Genomic DNA, 20,366 nt, shown 5'->3' with positions numbered 1-20,366 from the left:
ACTTTTAGCTATTTTGAAATATACAATAAATTATTGTTAATTACAGTTGCCCTCTTGTGCTGTCGAACACCAGGACTATCTAACTATTTTTGTACCTATTAGCCAATCACTCTTCATCCCCACTGCCCCCACTACCCTTTCCATCCTCTGGCAACCACCATTCTATTCTCTACCTCCATGAGATCAGTTTTTTAGCTCCCACATATGAGTGAGAAATGTGAATGCAATTTGTTTTTCTGTGCCTGGCTTATTTTACTTCACATCATGTCCTCTGGTTCCATCCATGCGCTGCAAATTACAGGATTTTATTCTTATTTATGGCTGAATAATATCCCATTGTGTGTATAAACCATTTTCTTTATCCATTCATCCATTGATGGACACTTAGCTTGCCTCCAAATCTTGGCCATTGTGAATAGTGCTGAAATAAACATGGGAGTGTAGATAGCTCTTCATTATACGGATTTCCTTTCTTTTGGGTTTATACCCAGTAGTGGGATTGCTAGATCATATAGTCGTTCTATTTTTAGTTTTTTGAGGAATCTTCAAAGTGTTTTCCATAGTGGCTATACTAATTTACATTCCCACTAACAGAGTACAAGCATTGCCTTTTTGCCAAGTCCTTGCTAGCATTTCTTATTTTCTGTCTTTTTGATAATAGCCACTTTGACTAAGGTGAGATGTCTCACTGTGGTTTTAATTACATTTCCCTGATAACTTGTAATGTTGAGCATTTTTAAATATACCTATGGCCACTTACATGTGTCTTCTTTTGAGAAATGTCTATTCTGATATTTTGCCAATATTAAAATCAGATTATTTGGGTTTTTTTATGCCATTGAGTTGTTTGAGTTCCTTATATATTCTGATTATTAAACCCTTGTCAAATGAATAGTTTACAAATAATTTTTCTCATTCTGTAGGTAGTCTCTTCATTTTGTTGATTGTTTCCTTTGCTGTGCAGAAGCTTTTTAGATTGATGTAATCCCATTTGTCCATTTATCTTTGGCTGTGTATTCTCTTTAGGTCTTACTCCGTAAGTCTCTGCCCAGATGATTTTCCTGAATTTCCCCAGTTATTTTCTTCTAGTAGTTTCAAGTTTCAGGTCTTAGATTTAAGTCTTTAATCCATTTTGATTGAGTTTTGTATGTGGTGAGAGGTAGGGGTCCAGTTTCATTCTTCTGCATATGGAAATCCTTTTTCCCAGCACCATGTATTAAAGAGACTGTCCTTTCCCCATCGTATGTTCTTGGCACTTTTGTCAGAAATTAGTTGGCTGTAAATCTGTGGATTTATTTCTGAATTCTCTATTCTCTTCCATTGATCTTTGTGACTGTTTTATACCAGCACCATGCCGTTTTAGTTTCTATAGCTCTGTGGTATATTTTGAAGTCAGGTAGTGTGATGCCTCAAGCTTAGTTCTTTTTGCAGTCTTTCAGGATTGCTTTGCCTATTTGGGAGCAGAATCAGTGAGCACTGAATATTGATTTTTATAATTGTACAAAGACCTGAAAGTAAAGTGTCTTTGTTTTTAGAGAGAGGCTTTTTTTTTTTTTTTGGAACAGGGTCTTGCTATGTTGTCCAGGCTGGAGTGCAATGGCTATTCACAGACATGATCATAGCAGACTGCAGCCTCAAATTCCTGGGCATAAGCAATGCTCTGACATCAGCCCCCTGAGTAGCTGGGACTATGGGTGTACACCACCATGCCCAGCTAACATTGTTTATTGCTGCCTTATTGTTTGGCTTTGGACAAGTCTCTTTATTTCTTTATAATATAGAAGGTACATCAGAATTCTTCAAAATCACTTACAGTCTAGCATTTAACAGTGAGCTGTTATGGGCCGGGCATGGTGGCTCATGCCTGTAATCCCAGCACTTTGGGAGGCCAAGGTGGGAGACCAGCCTAGGCAACATGGTGAAACCCCATCTCTACAAAATCCAAAATTAGCCAGCATAGTGGCATGCCCCTGTAGTCACAACTACTTGGGAGGCTGAGGTGGGAGGACTGCTTGAGCCTGGGAGGCAAAAGTTGCAGTGAGCCTGAGATCATGCCACTGCATTCCAGCCTGGTCAATGAAATGAGACCCTGTCTCAATAAAAAATAAAAATAAGTAAGCTATGATGCTGCCAGCAGTTTTCAAAGTATAGTTTGGGGACTCCTGGGACCCCAAGATATTTTTCAGTTATCCTTAAGTTCAAACCTAGTTTCGTAATAATATTAGGACATTATTTGCCTTTTACTCACATTCTCTCATGAGAGCACAGTGGAGTTTTCTCGAGGCCTACAGGACATGTGACATTGCAACAGACTGATGTAGAACAGATATTGTCTTCTATTAAATAGACATTAAAGAGATTTTTAAAAATTACAAAGTACCGTTTCTCACTTTTTTTATTTTTGAAAATATAGTTATTATTTATGAGAAATATGTTAATCTGTAATGGCTTTATTTATTTTTAAATGAGTATTTATTTATTTATGAGATGGAGTCTTGCTCTGTTGCCCAGGCTGGAGTGCAGTGACATGGTCCCGGCTCACTAGAACCTCCGCCTCCCAGGTTCAAGCAATTCTCCTGGCTCAGCCTCACGAGTAGCTGGGATTACAGGCACCTGCCACCACACCCGGCTAATTTTTGTATTTTCAGTAGAGACAGGGTTTCACCATGTTGGCCAGGCTGGTCTCGAACCTCTGACCTCAAGTGATCTGCCTGCCTCGGCTTCCAAAGTGCGGGAATTAACAGACGTGAGCCACTGCGTCCAGCCTAAATGAGCACCTAAATTTTTCCTCAGTTTTAATTTTAATACAGTAGATATGAATAAACATAATCCACATACATTTTTCAAAGCTGTTTGGAGTTCTCAATAATTTTTTTTTTTCAAGACAGGGTTTTAGTCTCGTTGCCCAGGCTGGAGTGCAATGGCTCAATGTCAGCTCACTGCAGCCTCTGCCTCCTGTGTTCAAGTGATTCTCCTGCCCGAGCCTCACCGGTAGCTGGGACTACAGGCTCATGCCACCATACCTGGCTAATTTTTGTAGTTTTTGTAGAGATGGTGTTTCATCATGTTGCCCAGCTGGTCTTGAACTCTTTTTTTTTTTTTGAGATGGAGTCTCGCTCTGTTGCCCAGACTGGAGTGCAGTGGTGCGATCTCGGCTCACTGCAACCTCCGCCTCCCGGGTTCAAGCGATTCTTCTGCCTCAGCCTCCCAAGTAGCTGGGACTACAGGTGCATGCCACCACACCTGGCTAATTTTTGTGTTTTTAGTAGAGACGGGGTTTCACCATATTGGCCAGGCTGGTCTCAAACTCCTGACCTTGTGATCTGCCCGTCTCAACCTCCCAAAGTGCTGGGATTACAGGCGTGAGCCACCATGCCCGGCCTGAACTCTTGAGCTCAAGTGATCCTCCTGCCTTGGCCTCCCAAAGTGCTGAGTTTACAGGTGTTAGCTACCATACCCAGCCAGTCCTCAATAATTTTTAGAGGTTAAGGGGGTCCTGAGACCAAAAAGTTTGAGAACTGCTGTTCCTAGTATTTAACAAGAAACATACGTTAGAAAAAAGAAATATATTGTATCTCTATCACGCAAATACAAATATAAGCCACTGTCATCTCTTAACACTCTTGCTCCATTATAATCCATTCTCCAGACTGCAACCAGAGTACATTTTTAAAAATGTGAATCAGATTATATCATGTTCATTGCACATAATAGAAAATCTGGACTCCTTTCAATGTTTTATATATGTCCCTAAATGTAGCACCCTACCCACTTCTCTGAAGAGCCTGTATCAGGTTACCAGTGTGTATCATGTAACTATTTCTACAAAAATGTCTTGTAACAAACTATCCCCAAATTTGCTGGCTTAAAATGGAGCAGCAAACTCCACCTGTTTTTTGTGTGGGCTGTAATTTAATAATGGCTTTTACGTTTTCAAGTGGTTTTTAAAAATTAATGTTTCACAACAACATGAAAATTATATGAAATTCATACTCTAGTTTCCCTTCGGATTGCATAAATCTTTTGCCTTTTACTAAGATTTCCATGGGGCTGGGTGTGGTGGCTCATGCCTGTAATCCCAGCAATTTGGGAGGCTGAGGCGGGAGGATCACTTGAGTCCAGGAGTTCAAGACCAGCCTGGGCAACATAGTGAAACCCCATCTCTACCAAAAAAGAAACCAAAAAAAAAAAAAACACACACAAAAAACACTTAGCTGGGCATGGTGGCACATGTTTGTAGTCCCAGCTACTCAGAGGCTGAGGTGGGAGGATTGCTTAAGTCTGGGAGGTTGACACTGCAGTAAGCCAAGATTGTGCTACTGTGCTCCTGCCTGAGCAACATAGTAAGACCCCATCTCTACAATCAAAAATAAATAAATATTTTCATGGAGAGGAACAACTCTGACTTTTTGTTTTATTTTTGAGACAGGGTCTTACTCTGTCACCCAGGTTGGAGTTCAGTGGCATGAACACAGCTCACTGCAGCCTCAGCCTCCTGGTCTCAAGATCCTCCTGCCTCAGCCTCCTTAGTAGCTGAGACCACAGGTGTGTGCCACCAAGCCCAGCTGATTTTTACATTTTTTTGTAGAGATGGGGGGGTTCTCACCATGTTGCCCAAGCTGGTCTTGAACTCGTGGACTCAAGCAGTCCTCCCACCTCAGCTTCCGAAAGTGCTGGGATTACATGTATGAGCCACTGTGCCCAGCCCAACTTTGAGGTTTTTGCTAATTTTTTGAGGCCTTGCTTTGGCAAGGTGATATGGTTTGGATTTGTGTCCCTGACCAAATCTCATGTTGAATTGTCATCCTCCGTGTTGGAGAAGAGGCATGGTGGGAAGTGATTGGATCATAGTGGGGGACTTCCCCCTTGCTCTTCTCGTGTTAGTGAGTGAGTTCTCAGATCTGGTTGTTTATTTTAATTTAATTTTGTTTTGAGACAGGGTCTCACTCTGTCGCCCAGGCCAGAGGGCAATGGTGTAATGTCAGATCACTGCAACCTCTCTCTGCCTTCTGGGTTCAAATAGTTCTTCTGCCTCAGCCTCCCAAGTAGCTAGAATTACAGGCACATGCCACCACGCCCAGCATTTTTTTTAGTAGAGATGGGGTTTCATCATGTTGGCCAGGCTGGTCTCGAACTCCTGGCCTCAAGTGATCTGCCCACCTCGGCCTCCCAAAGTGCTGGGATTACAGGTGTGAGCCACCACGCCCTGCCTGAGATCTGGTTGTTTAAAAGTGTGTAGCACCGGCCGGACGCAGCGGCTCAGCCTGTAATCCCAGCACTTTGGGAGGCCGAGGCAGTTAGATCACCTGAGGTCGGGAGTTCGAGGCCAGCCTGGCCAACATGGTGAAACCCCATCTCTACTAAAAATACAAAAATTAGTTGGGTGTGGTGGCAGGCACCTGTAATCCCAGCTCCTTGGGAAGCTGAGGCAAGAGAATCACTTGAACCCGGGAGGCAGAGGTTGCAGTGAGCTGAGATCTCACCACTGCACTCCAGCCTGGGTGACACAGTGAGACTCCATCTCAAAAAAAAAAAAAAAAAAGTGTGTAGCACCCTCCTCCTTTGCTCTCTTCCTCCTTCTCCGGCCACGTAAGAGGATGTGCCAATTTCACCTTCGCCTTCTGCCATGATTGTAAGTTTTCTGAGGTCTCCCAGAAACGCTTCCTGTACATCCTGCAGAACTGTGAGTCAGTTAAACCTCTTTTATTTATAAATTACTCAGTCTTAGGTAGTTCTTTATAGCAATGCGAGAACAGACTAATCCACAGAGATAGAGTAAAAAAGAAAAAAAAAAAAAGAAAAAATTATGTGAAATTTAAATGTCAGTTTCTGTAATTTGAGTTTCATTGGAACACAGCCATGTCCATTTATTTACATGCTGTCCGTGGCTATTTTCACATTACAGTGGCAGAATTAAATAGCTGAGACAGAAACTATATGGCCTGCAAAGTCTAAGATGTTACTATTTCGTCTTTTACGGAGAAAGATTTCCAGTCCTTGATTTACAGTGGCAATTACTTGCTCTCTGGATGTGCAGGTCATTGGTTAACTGATTGGGGTTGGACTTGGTTGGCTCTGCTCCACGGGTCTCTCATCCTCCAGGGACCAGCCAGCGAACCTGGTTGTGTTCTTCTCAAGGCAAAGGTAGAGGCTGAGAGATCCTCTAGATACTCGCAAACCCTTCTGAGGTGTAGGCTCAGAACTGCTGCAGTCACCGTCTTTTTGTTCTTTGAAGGCATTCAACTTTTCTTGCCTTAGGAGCTTTGTACTGGCTGTTCCATGAGCAGGAGAGCACTCCCCCCAGATCATCTGGTGACAGGCTTTCTTGTCAACATAGGTCTCAGCTGTAACACTTCACTTGGGCCTTCCCCACCACCTGTCCCAAAGCAGCCTCTTTCCCCAAGTCCTTCTTTATCACATTCCCCTATTTTTCCTTTTTTTTTTTTAAATAATACTTTTAGTGTCAGTCTGAAATTGTATGTTGATATATATGATTTCTTACCTCTCTCCTTTAAAATGTAGGCTCTGTGGGAGCAGGGGCCTTTCTGTCTTATTCACCACTGTATTTTCGGCCCCTGGAAGCCTGGCACCTGGAAGTAAGCTGAGCACAGAAATATTTTTTTCTACTGTCTAAATATGGAAAGGTCACCCATGGTGAGCAGTTGCTAAATTTGACCTTAAAAGAAAGAATGTGGATTTAGTTTATATATATGTGTGTGTGTGTGTGTGTGTGTGTGTGTGTGTGTGTATGTGTGTGTATATATATATATATATATATATATATGAAATTGGAGTAGACTTTATATTTTAGAGCAGTTTAGGTTTACAGAAAAATTATATGGAAGGTACAGGAAATTCCTGTATACTCCCTCTCCCCTAAATAGTTCTCCATACATTTTTAATAGGCTTGTTTTATTTACTTATTATTATTTTTAGAGACCGGGTCTTGCTCTGTTGCCCAGGCTGGAGTGTAGTTGTACAGTCAGCTCACTGCAGCCTTGAACTCGTGGCCTGAAGAGATCTTCCTTCCCTCAGCCTCCCAAGTAGCTGGGTGTACAGGCACACACTACACCTTTTTTTGTAGAGACTGGGTCTCACTATATTGAACTCCTGGTCTGAAGGGATTCTCCTGCATTGGCCTCCCAAAGCAGTGGGATTACAGGTGTGAATCACCATACCTGGCCTGTTTCCCCTAAAAACACCTTGGGTCAGTGTGGTACATTTGTTATAGTTGGCAAATCAATATTGATAGATTTTTTATTAACTAATGTACATAGATTACACTAGGATTCATTCTTTGTTTTATACAGTTCTGTGGGTTTTGACAAACGCATAATGTCCTGTGTCTACCACTACAGTATTGTACAGAATAGTTTCACTGCCCTGCAGTTGTTCTTGCTCTGTGCTTCACCTATTCATTCCCATCTTCTCCTTCCTCCCCACTGGCAACCACTGATCTTTTTGCTGTGTCTGTAGTTGGGCCTTTTCCAGAATGTCATTTCTTGGAATCACATAATATGTAACCTTTTCAGTTTGCTTCTTTCCTTTAGTAATATTCATTTAAGTTTCCTCTATGTCTCTTCATGACTTGATGGCTCTTTTCTTTGTAGCACTGAATAATATTCCATTGTCTGGTGCCATTCACCTTTTGAAAGACATCTTGATTGCTTCCAGTTTGGGGCAATTATGAATAAAGCTGCTATATACGTTTATGTGCAGGTTTTTATATGGACACAATTTTTCAACTCAGGTAAATACTTAGGAGCATGACTGTGATAAGCCTATGTTTAGCTGTGTGAGACACTGACAAACTGTCTTCCAAAGTGGCTGCACCATTTGAATTCCCACCAGCAATCAATGAGAATTCCTGTTGCTTCACATCTTTCCCGGCTTGGTGTTGTCAGTGTTTTGGATTTTAGCCATTCCATTAGGTGTGCAGTGGTATCTTATTGCTGTTTTAATTTGTTATTCCCTAATGACATGTGATGTTGAGCATCATTTTATATACTTGTTTACCATCTGTATGTTTTCTTTGGTTGGGTATCTTCAGATTTTTTTACCCAGTTTTTAATTGGGTTGTTTGTTTCCTTATTGTTGAATTTTAAGAGTTCTTTGTATATTTTGGATACCAGTTCCTTATCAGATATGTGTCTTACAAATATTTTTTCTCAGTCAATAGTTATCTTTTTATTCTTTTAACAGTGTCTCCCAGAGCAGAGCAGAAGTTTTTTTGAGACCGAGTTTCGCTTTTGTTGCCCAGGCTGAAGTGCAATGATGCAATCTTGGCTTACCGTAGCCTCCGCCTCCCGGGTTCAGGCAATTCTCCTGCCTTGGCCTCCCAAGTAGCTGGGATTACAGGCATGCACCACCACGCCCAGCTAATTTTGTATTTTTAGTAGAAAGATGGGGTTTCTCCATGTTGGCCAGGCTGGTCTCGAACTCCCGACCTCAGGTGATCCACTCGCCTCAGCCTCCCAAAGTGCTGGGATTACAGGCATGAGCCACCACACCTGGCCAGAAGTTTTTAATTAGTACAACTGATCAGTCTTTTTCTCACCTATGGATTGTTACTTTTGGTGTTGTATCCAAAAAGTTACCATCAAATCCAAGGTCACCTAGATTTTCTTTCTTTTTTTTTGGAGACGGAGTCTTGCTCTGTCATCCAGGCTGGAGTGCAGTGGCGTGAACACGACTCACTATAGCCTCCACCTCCTGAGTTCAAGTGATCCTCTCACCTCAGCTTCCTGAGTAGCTGGGTCCACAGGTGCATGCCGCTATGCCCAGCTTTTTTTTTTTTTTTTTTTTAATTGCCCGGGCTGGTCTTGAACTCCTGGGCTCGAGCAGTCCTCCCACCTTGGCCTCCTAAAGTGATGGGATTACAGGCATAAGCCACCATGCCCAGCCATGTAACTTTAGAGTCAGTTTGTCTATATCCCCAAAATAACTTGCTGAAATTTTAGTTGAGTTTGCATTGAATCTGTAGATGAAGTTGGGAAGAACTGACATCTTAACAATATTGAGCCTTCCTGTCTGTGAACATGGAATTTCATTTGGATCTTCTTTGATTGTTTCCATTGGCTTTCTGTAGTTTTCTTCACAAAGATTTCATACATATTCATACATATTTTGTTAGAGTTATGCCTACGCATTTCTTATTTTTCTTTTTTAGCAGGGGGTGCTAACCTAAATTGTATTGTGTATTTTAGTTTCAAATTCCAATTGTTCATTGTTGTTATATAGGAGAGCACTTGACTTTTGACTTTTGTATGTTAACTTTGTTTTTATTTGTTTGTTTTTTGAGAGAGTCTTACCGTTGCACAGGCTGGAGTACAGTGGTGCTATTGTGCCTCAGTCCACTGAGTAGCTGGGACTACAAGTGTGCGCCGCCACACCTGGCTAATTTTTGTATTTTTGGTAGAGGTGGAGTTTCACCGTGTTGGCCAGGCTGGTCTCGAACTCTTGTCCTCAGGTGATCCACCAGTCTGGGCCTCCAGAAGTGCTGGGATTACAGGTGTGAGCCACTGTGCTGGCCTTGTATGTTAACTTTGTATCCTGCAGTCTTACTATATTTGCTTATTTGTTTCAGATTTTGTTGTTGTTGTTGATTCTTTGGGATTTTCTACATAGACAGTCATGTCATCGGTGAACAAAGACAGTTTTTTTTTTCTTCTATTCAAACCAAGATAGTTTTATTTCATCCTTCTCAATCTGTTTACCTTTTATTTCCTTTTTTTGTCTTACTGCATCAGCTAGGACTTCAGGTACAATTTTGAATAAGAATGGTGATGGGAGGAGGAGTCCACACTTGTCTTGTTCCTGGTTTTAGGAGGAAAGCATGTAGTTTCTCATCACTAAGTATGATATTAGGTGAAACTGTTTTTGTGGATGCTCTATCAAACTGAGGAAGTTCTCCTGTATTCCTAGTTTGCTGAACATTTTTATCATAAATTAATGTTGGATTGTCAAATGCTTTTTCTGCATCTATTGGTATCGTCATACAATTTTTCTTCTTTAGCTTGTTGATGTGAAGGATTTTATGAATTGATTTTTGGTTGTTAAACCAGGCTTGTATACCTGGGATGAATCCCAGTTGGTTGTGGTAAATAATTCTTTTTATATATTGTTGGATTTGATTTGATAATATTTTACTGAGGGTTTTCGCATCTGTGTTCATGAGAGATAGTGGTTTATAAGTTTCCTTTCTTGTAATGTCTTTGCCTTGTTTTGGTATTAGGGTAGTTTTGGCCTCATAGAATGAATTAGGAAATGTTCTCTCTGCTTCCATTTTCTGAAAGAGATTGTAGAGAAGTGGTATCATTTTTTTTTTCCTTAAGTGTTTGGTAAAATTCACCAGTGAAGCCATCTGGGTCTGGGGCTTTCTATTTTGGAAGGTTATTAATTATTGATTCAAATTTTTTTATAGATATAGCCCTATTCAGATGACCTCTCTCGTTTTTTGAGTTTTTGGATCATGTGTTTCAAGGAGTTGGTCCATTTCATCCAAATTATAAAGTCTGTGGAGACAGAGTTGTTCATAATGCTCCTTAATTTTTTAGGGGGGAAGGTATTGTAGTGATTTACTTTTCTTTTAAATTATTGTGGTTAAACATATATAACATAAAATTTGCCATTTTAGCTATTTTTAATTATATAACTCAGTGGCATTAGTTACATATACAAAGTTGTGCAATCATCACCACTGACTATTTCCCAAACTTTTTCATCGCCCCAAACAGGAACTTTGTAACCATTAAATTCCTCAGTCATCTCTTCCTTTAGCTCCTGGTTGCCTCTAATCTACTTTCTGTTTCTATGGATTTGCCTGTTCTAGATATTTTATATAATGGAATCATACAATATTTGTGTTTTTGTTTCTTGTTGTTATTTTGGCAGTTTTGGCTTGTTTGTCTGTGTTTACATGGGGAAAGAAAAATTGTAGCAGCCTGTTCCACCATTTTGCTGATGTCTAGCTCCAGACTAATAGTTTTGATTGTTGCTTTTTTTATATAATGTTTTATCAAACACTTTATCCCTTGACTACTTTGTAATGCTCCACAAAGGAAGAAACTTTGTTTTGGTCATTGCTATGTCCTCAGAATCTAGAATGATGCCACATAATATTTATTGACTGAGAAAATTAAGTTACTATGTTTTAAACGATTGTTTGAAAATGTGATTTTTTAATAGCTTTATCATATTTATATGAATGTACCATAATTACTCAATTTCCTGTTTAATTTTTAAATCATGTTTAATGATCTAAACATTAGATATTTCGTTTTTATCGGTAATAATGGTGATTATCGTACAGAAGCCTTTGGGTGGATCTATGATAATTTCCTCGGCATATGTTTCTTGTAGTGGAATTAACCAGATCAAAAGGCATGAACATTTATTTGTTTGTTTCTTTGGTACACACTGCCAATTGCTCCTCAAGAAAGGAGCAATTTTTTTAAATGGCCTAGCAGCTATTTTTTAAAAAAATAACATTCTTGACCTGGCTCAGGCCTGAATCCCAGCATTTTGGGAGGCAGAAGCAGGCAGATCGCATGAGCCCAGGAGTTTGAGACTAACCTGGGCAATGTGGTGAAACCCCATCTTGACAAAAAAATCCAAAAATTAGCCAGACGTAGTGATGTGCACCTGTAGTCGCAGCTACGCAGGAGGCTGAGATGGGAGGATTGCCTGAGCCCTAGGCTCAGTACATCAAGGCTGCAGTGAACCTTGATGACGCCACTGCACTCCAGCCTGGGTGACAAAGCAAGACCCTGTCTCAAAACAAAAACAAAAACATTCTTTTCACCTTTTATGACTTTTTAGCATTTCAAATTCATTTTTTAAAAGTCCTCTTCTTGGTGTATTTTAAAAATATTTTTAGGTAACAGTGTGAAATAAAATTCACTTGTTAGTGGAGGTAAATACATTAAGTTTCACAAACAGATATTGTGCAAAACTTCATTTCAGTAAACTTTTTTATGACAATTTTGCAAAAATAAAATTTGAAAATCTTAATTTGACTAGTTTGGCTTCTGGTTTACTAATTATACTAAAAGTATATACCAAGTTAAACCATTTTTTGTTCATATGTTGGTAATTTTTTTTTCACATGATATATTTTAATTATTTGCATCATATTTGTCTCCCCAGTAGTCTGTGAGCCCCTTGTGGGTTGTAATAAGTTCAGTGTTGTATCATAATTTTAATACCTTATACATCCTATAGTACTTTGTAGTTGTCAGAATATTTTATCAGCTCACTTGAATTTTCTAACAACCCCTTAGGGGATAAGATAGTATTATTTAAATTTTACAGTTGAAATTTAGGGTTAAGTTGACTTGTCTAAAATCACAAAACTGGAGCTTAGGTCCAGTTGTTCTGACTTGCCACCTTGTGTATTTTTGTGACAGTCTTTAAGGTTTGAATAGCTGCAGCACTAAACAAACTTAGTGCCGTGACCAAAATCTGTATTTCTATTTGGCCCATTATGGTGACCACTAACTGCATGTGGCTACTGAGTGCTTGAAATGTGGCTAGGTGATTAAGGTAGTGAATTTCTTATATTACTTAGTTTACGTTTTAAATAATGACTTGTGGCCACATACCATATTGGACAGTGCAGGTCTACCCTCATAGGTAGAATAACTATTTGCCAGGACATTATAACAAGAACTCAAACATTGGCTGCAGAGTAGGGCACTGGATTCAAAGTTCTTCCTGTAGAATTCGGTGATTCTGAAAACTCTGAGCAATAAAACAAACAACATAGATATATTCAGAAAGTCGGTTTGAATACTTTTTGAAAGTATTTTTGGTAGTTCGTTGGTTCTTTTTTTTTTTCTCTTTCTCTCTTTTCCTTTTAGCCAAGTGTGATTGCTAAGGGTTCTTTTTGTTTTCTTTTAGATATGACTTTTATATAGTAGAGTGCATTGTCAAAGCACAAAGCAATACTTTTTTTGTTTTGTTTTTTTGAGACAGTCTCACTCTGTCACCCAGGCTGTAGTGCAGTGATGCTGATCTTGGTTCACCGCAACCTCCGGCTCCTGGGCTCAAGCAATTCTCCTGCCAGTGAGTGCTACCAGGCTTGGCTAACTTTAAAAATTTTTTTTTTTTAAATAGAGACAAGGTCTTACTATATTGCCCAGACTGGTCTTGAACTTCCAGGCTCAAGCGATCCTCCCACCTCGGCCTCCCAAAGTACTGGGATTACAGGCACGAGCCACCATGCCTAGACAGTATTCTTAATTCTGACTTCTAATACAATTTTCTTCCCTACTCCCCAACTGGCAAACAAATCTTTCTTTTTTCTCTACTCCTTTATTTCCATAAAAATCTCAGCTCTCTCTCCGTGGAAAAATATGTCATGATTATTCCTTTTGTCTAACAGTGTTTATTATATTTTAATCTGTACTCATTTAAAAGCTACACAGTAGTCCTACATCATTTCATGCAAATAAATGTTTAATCCTTAACAGGAATGTCAGCTCCTTGAGGACAGAGCCCTGATTTCCATTTTGTCTTCCTTAAAAAATCTGTTATGTTGTGTGTCTATTGCGGTAGAGAATCCAAAGAGGGTAGCCATGGTCTAGAAAAATGTCTGAGTTTAATTAGTGTTTGACTAAATAGTGGTCATCCATCTTCGGTTTGAATCATTTCCTTTAATTTATGTGAAGAGAAGAAATCATTCCTGTGTTAATAACCATTGAACTCCTAATTTTTTAAAGTTGTGCTTTATTGCATTAAGCCACTTTGCATCAGGAAAATGGGTGTCTTTAATCGAATGTGATTAGAAATGCTGCTGGCAATCAGCAGATTTTACTTCCTGGTTAATATCATAGGAGGAGGAGGTTTAGTAGAAAAGATAAAGCTTAAAATATCTTTAATATATCTTAGTCTTTCTTTTAGTGCCTCCATGCAAAACAAATTTTGTTTTCAGAAACTAAGAAGACTTTTTGTAATCTAGGAACATGGTACATTTATCTTTTCTTTTTCCCTTGTTGGAGGGAAGACAAGGTTAGAGGGACCTTGATTCTGAGGCAGCTTCTAAGGCCTCTTGGCATGTTAAAGTGCCAGTCTTTGGGGTATCACTTTCTGAGTCTACTTTCTGGACTTTTGAGACTTTTTTTTTTAAACTCAGCCTAATTCCCTGGAGATTCATTAAAGTTGATGAGAGATTCCATCTTTTTCAGCACTCTTTTCGAGTCCTGGCTTCTTACAGAAGTGGCATAGCCCAGGAGGTCTCCTCATGGTGTTATGTCCGGGAGTCTCCATCTGCCGTAACTGGAGATTAAGGATTTTAGTGGTTTTCTTTTTAGTATTGTCCTCAAGGGTGCTGGCAAGCTGATTTGCCAAATTAACTAGATCAGAGGTAGGCACAGTTTCCCATTCTGTTCGGGCCCTTTTGACCAGCTGGGAGAGTTCTTGAGAAAGGCTGTTCACTAACATGGAATAAAAGGCTACTTGAGTAGATTCAACATTTTCTTTAAATACAGCCTGGAGCCTACTGTAATAGTTGTACATTAGGTTCTTTCTTGGGCACAGGCCTGGAGGTTTTTCCAGTCTAAGGCTTTAGGAAGAGCCTCGAGAACAGACTTGTGGAGTGTTTTTTTTTCCTTCTATGCCTTTGACTCTATCCATAGTCTTTAGGGGTGTTTTTGTCTAAATCCCCCTCAGGATCATGGCAGTGAGCCTTGACCATCCAGTGTTGTGCCTGACCTTCACTGACAAGAATGTGAACCACCTACTGTGGGTCAGAAAAACCTGGCTGATAACCCTAAGTTACTATGTCCAATTAATCAGCAAATTGGTGAGGGTCCCCAGTAACCTCTGGAAGTTCCCTGGCAATGGCACGAAGTTCAGCCTTGCTCCAAAGAACAAAAGAAATTTGGGGTCTAGAGGAATTGTCAATAAGTTTAATTTTCATTTCTTTCTTTCTTCTTTCCTTTTTCTTTTTTTCTTTTCTTTTCTTTTTTTTTTTTTTTTTTAAGAGACAGGGTCTTGCTCTGTCATCCAGGCTTGAGTGTACTGGTACAATCATGGCTCACTTCAGCCTCCAACTCTTGGGCTAAAGTGATCCTCCCACCTTACCCTCTCAAGTAGCTGGGACTACAGGCATGCACCATGCCCGGCGAATTGATTTGTTTTTGTTTGTTTGGTTGTTCTGAGACAGGATCTCAGTTTGTTGCCCAGGCTGGCCATGAACTCCTGACTTCAAGCCATCCTCCAGCCTTGGCCTCCTGAGTAGCTGGACTCCAGGTGTGCGCCACCATGCCTGGCTAATTAAAAAAAATTTTTTCTTTTTTTTGAAGAGACAAGGTCTTACTATGTTGCCCCAGCTGGTCTCGAATGCCCGACTTCAATCGATCCTCCCTTCTTGGCCTTGCAAAGTGCTGGAATTACAGACATGAGCCACCACACTCAGGCTAGTTTAACCAAATTGTTTTATTTTTATTTTTTTCCTTCATACAGCCTCCTTTAACTTTAAAGGGACAGATTTTGGCGGGCCAGAGAAAGAGAGGAGAATAGAGAAGAAAGAAGGAAGGGGAAGTCTCATCTGTTCCAGAGAGGAAGGAGTTTGGGTCCTTAAGGCCTTGCTCTTTTTTAAATTTTTTTCCAGTTTTTTTTTTTTTTTTTTTTTTTTTTTTGAGACAGGGTCTCTTTCTGTCACCCAGGCTAGAGTGCAGTGGCACAGTAAATGCTCACTGCAACTTCCACCTCCTAGGCTCAAGCGATTCTGCCGCTTCAGCCTCCCAGGTAGCTGAGACTACAGGCACATCCCACCACACCCGGCTAATTTTTTGGAGTTGTAGAGACAGGGTTTTGCCGTGTTGCCTATGCTGGTCTCGAACTCCTGGGCTCAAGTGATCCACCCACCTCTGCCTCCCAAAGTGCTAGGATTAAAGGTATGAGCAACTATGCCTGGCCTTTTTTTTTTTTTTTTTTTTTTTTTTTTGAGACAGGGTCTCGTTCTGTCACCTAGGCTGGAGTGCAGTGATGCAATCATGGCTCACTGCAGCCTCCACCTCTTGGGCTCAAACAATACTCCAGACTCAGCCTCTGAGTAGCTGGGTCTACAGGTGTGTGCCACCATGCCTGGCCAATTTTTTATTTTTTGTAGAGATGAGGTCTCACTATGTTACCTAGGCTGGTCTTGAACTCCTGGCCTCAAGTGATTCTCCCACCTCAGCCTCCGAAAGTGCTGGCTTTACAGGCGTCAGCCACCTGGCCCTTGTTTTTTCTTAACTGTTTATCTTAATTAATTTTGAGATCGTGTCTTGTAGAGAGGCAATTTTAGGATCCTGAGTGTGCTTAGAAGCTTCAAGGTACCAATTAAAGTATGCCTCCCACTCAGATTTTTAATTATAGGGCTGCTGTCTTCTATTTGTTTTTTGTTTTCTTTTTATTTTGAGATGGAGTCTCACTCTGTCACCCAGGTTAGAGTGCAGTGGCGCGATCTCAGCTCACTGCAACTTCTGCCTCCCAGGTTCAAGCGATTCTCCTGCCTTAGCCTCCCTAGTAGCTGGGATTATGGGCAACTGCCACCACGCCTGGCTGATTTTTTTTTTTTTTTTTTTTTTTTGTATTTTTAGTAGTGATGGGGTTTCACCATGTTGGCTAGGCTGATCTTGAACTCCTGACCTCAAGTGATCCTCCCTCCACGACCTCCCAAAGTGCTGGGATTACAGGCATGAGCCATTGCACCTAGCCCTAATTTTGTTCTAAGACAAGTTTGCGGACCCAAAAGATCTCCAGGATGGCCATCCAAATTAGTTTTGATGTTCTCTATCCATTGATTTAAAATTGTTCGCAAGAGAAGACCATAATTTTTTTTTAATTAAAAAATTTTTTATAATAGGGAAAAAATAGAGACGAGGTCTCACTGTGTTGCTCAGGCTGGTCTTGAGCTCCTGGGCTCAGGCGATCCTCCCAATTCATCCTCCCAAAGTGCTAGGACTACAGGTGTGAGCCACCACACCTGGCCAAAGATAATTTTTGAACATGTAGCTAGCTGGCAGAGGTCCCAGGAGAGGGACTATGATTGCATGCTTTAGCATTTTAGGATCCCATTCTGCTTCTCATTAATCTCCCAAGAGCAAAATAAGAACCTTATAAGCCCTGTCAGGGAATGTTTGGGGTTTGGACCAGTGTCCAACAAACTCAAGTACACGTACAAGTGTATGGAAACAAGTCAGAACAAAACCAAAACCAAAAGTTCTCTCTATTGGGGTTCTCTTCTACAACGTTGGCAATTCTTTCCATAGAGTACCATGTGTAATGAGCATTAAAGATCTTTATGCCCCTCCTCTTCCCTCCCACCCCCACCCCAAATCTAGAGGCTGATTAGAGATGCTGTGTTTTGCGGCAGGTAGACCACTTCAGTGCCTTCAGTGTTGAACTCATGGGGTTCTGGGTGGCCATGGGCATTGTCCAATCAAAAGAACTTTAATAGAAGTACTTACTGGCAAGGTACTTCCTGACTTCAGAGACAATGCATCCAAGGAACCAGTCCAGTAAAAGAACTCTTGTTCAGGTTTTCTTGTTGTACAACCAAAACACTGACTGTTGGTGTTAATTTTTTTCCATCAAGCCTTGGGGGTTAGCAGCATTACAGGTAAGGAAAGCCCAACAGCATTTGCACAAAACAGTAGAGTCAGCCTGTCCCTTCCCTTCCTGCTTTAAATCCTGATGCTTGCTTCTCTTCCTTACTAATAAATGTTCTTTGTCACATTTTTCCCATGATTAAATTTCATCTGTATTAAAAACATGTTCAGGCAGATATCCTTTCTCATCGATGATTTTCTTTGGGAACTGATCTTCTGCCTTTTGGTCTGCAGGTGCATCTCCTGTTATCTTGACATTTTTAAGCCAAATCTCTTTTTAAAATGATCAAACCAGTCTTTGCTGGCATTACATTCTCCTGCTTTAGACCCTTATTGTCCTTTTGCTTTAAGTTGTTATCTAACAACTTTGCTTTTTCTTGCATTATGTTAGTCTGTAGGTATGTGTTTCTTATAGCAATTCTGGACCCACGTTAAAGCGCATTTTCAATACAAGATAAAGAGGCATTTAGCAAAAAATGCAGTTTTCTAGCTGGGAGTGACAGCTTCATAATTTTTCATTGCCTTTTTTTTTAAAAAACAATGATTCTTAGCTAAATTCTTTTGTCTTGAAATGGCCAGCAACCACCACTGCAGACCTCAATCTATGGTACGTGTCAAACCATTCAACTTTTTCTTGTAATGACATGACTTTCCTCTGCTTCTTGGGAGCACTTCCATCGGCACTAGTGGCACTTTCTAAGAGTCCCATGATGTTCTTCGCAGTTTACGGTATTGCACTAAATATGAAAAATACGTAAGAAACATGAGAGATCACTTTTTACCGCAACATGCAGTTTACTAGAGAGACAAACTGCTCACGTGGAGATAATTAGTGTCACTACAGATACTCGCAACATGTGAGCTCGCTGCAATAGTAACAGGAGATGGGTACAAAATTATTTTAGTACAGTATATACTACAGTTGATTTTATTCGGTTATGATTTATTGCTGCATTTTTATGTTTGTTTACCTCTCTCAATTGCAAACGGTACCATGTACAGTCTGTGTTTGTATAAGTTTTGATACATTTTAACTTTTTATAATATAATAGATTTGTGTAAGTTCTGGATAATGAAAACAGAAGTGGTAGGTGCAGCTTCCATGATGTCTCCTTAAAGGTGGGGCATGTCTTTCCCTTTCCTTTCTGCAGTTGGAATGAATTCTAAATGCCTGGGCCCCACAGCCCATCTGAATGTAGCAGGGCCACTTCTTAGGGGCAGTGGAATAGGATGCTGGAGGAAGCCTGGTCAGGAAGGAGGGCATGTAGAGTAGAAGGAAAGGACACACAGAAAGATTAGATAGAAGGGAATGAGCTGGCAAAGGAGATGGAAAAGGAGCCACCAGGGCGACAGGAGGGAAAACCAAGAAAACATTTCCACAAAGAGGAACTGGGCAACTGCTATGAATACTTGAGTAAGAGATGAGGAAAATGCCGTTGAGTTTGACAATGTGGGGGCCTTGGTAAGGCCACTAAAGTGGTGAAAACATAAGTGATACTGGAGTGAGCTGAAGGGTGAGTGGGAAAGCAGGAGATGACCTTGAAAGGGACAGAAAATGTGGGGTAGAGGGACTCACTGGAATGGATATGGAGTGAAGGGAAGGTGTTCCCAAGGTACGGGAACATGTTTGCGTGCCAATGGGAATAATCCTACTGAAAGGAAAAGAGAGGCAAGGTCTTGAGAACACACAAGTTGATGAGATCCAGAGCAAATAGAGATTGGATGTCTGCAAGGTGGGGGGACACTTCCTCTGTGGTAAGAGGAATGAAAAAGAAAATGGGATGTATGTGTGGGTAGGTTTATAGATTTAGGGTGCAAACATGAGGGAACTTCTATCTAAAGCTTTCCATTTTCTCCTGAAATGTTTAACAAGGTCGTTAGCTGAAACCTCACAGGTAATAAGGTCCTTATCCTCCCATATCTTGTCAGTCCCTTATGTTTCTTGGTTTTTTGGTTTTTTGAGATGAAGTCTCGCTCTGTTGCCCAGGCTGGAGTGCAGTGGCGCGATCTTGGCTCACTGCAACCTATGCCTCCCAGGTTCAAGCAATTCTCCTGTCTCACTTCCCGAGTAGCTGGGACTGCAGGCGCATGCCGCCATGCCCAGCTAATTTTTTGTATTTTAGTAGAGACGGGGTTTCACCGTGTTGCCCAGGCTGGTCTCGAACTCCTGAGCTCAGGGAATCCACCCTCCTCAGCCTCCCAAAGTGCTAGGATTACAGGCGTGAGCCACCGTGCCCGGCCTGTCCCTTCTGTTTCTGCTTGTGTCTGTAAATGCTCTGAGAAGAGTCTTTCCTAAACTTTAGACGGATTCTGTAACTGCCTTAAAATCCTTCAGTGCTTCCAAGGCACAGAAGGCACGTCACGCTTAGGGCCCAGCTTTCTTTCCTAGACCCATTTCTCAACAGTTATCTACCTGTCTTCTGGACAAAGCCAGCCACACAGTTGCCCTGAAACAATTTGCCCTTGCTGCTTCTCAGCCTACAAGCATGCTCTTCCAACTGGCTGGCCCTGTCCTTTTTTCCCTACCTGGTGAACTCATTCTTCAAGACCCATTTCAAATACCACATCCTTTTAAACCTCTTTGATTCCGCTACCCCATTCCAAGCATGGTGAGACACTAAGTCTTTTAGTTTGTCCTTTTCAGGAACTGTAGCTTATTCACCTGGATCTAACACGATGTATGTGGTAGGCAGTAAGTGAATACATGAATTTTGATTTCTTTACCCATTTCTCTAGCAATTCTAATGAAATTAAAATGAAATGAAAGTT

At 40.8% G+C, this 20,366-nt stretch overlaps 1 protein-coding gene across 3 annotated transcripts in view; it reads left to right on the top strand.

Annotated features, from left to right (window-relative positions):
- The window catches only part of GNPTAB (N-acetylglucosamine-1-phosphate transferase subunits alpha and beta), an 85,461-nt gene that overhangs the window by 13,779 nt on the left and 51,316 nt on the right, over positions 1-20,366 (top strand). The window contains exon 1 of one of the 3 annotated variants that reach the window (XM_011538731.3): positions 18,153-18,204. The exons of the other annotated variants lie outside the window; for them this stretch is intronic. Within the exon in view, the coding sequence (XP_011537033.1) occupies positions 18,169-18,204 (36 nt within the window). The 5' untranslated portion in view covers positions 18,153-18,168. Of the gene's footprint in view, positions 1-18,152; positions 18,205-20,366 lie in introns of those variants that run through there. 3 annotated transcript variants of the gene reach the window in all.

This window comes from Homo sapiens, chromosome 12, assembly GCF_000001405.40.
Source record: "Homo sapiens chromosome 12, GRCh38.p14 Primary Assembly".
Taxonomy (NCBI): domain Eukaryota; kingdom Metazoa; phylum Chordata; class Mammalia; order Primates; family Hominidae; genus Homo; species Homo sapiens.
Note: the sequence above shows the minus strand (reverse complement) of the source record. Positions and strands in the feature narration are given on the sequence as shown.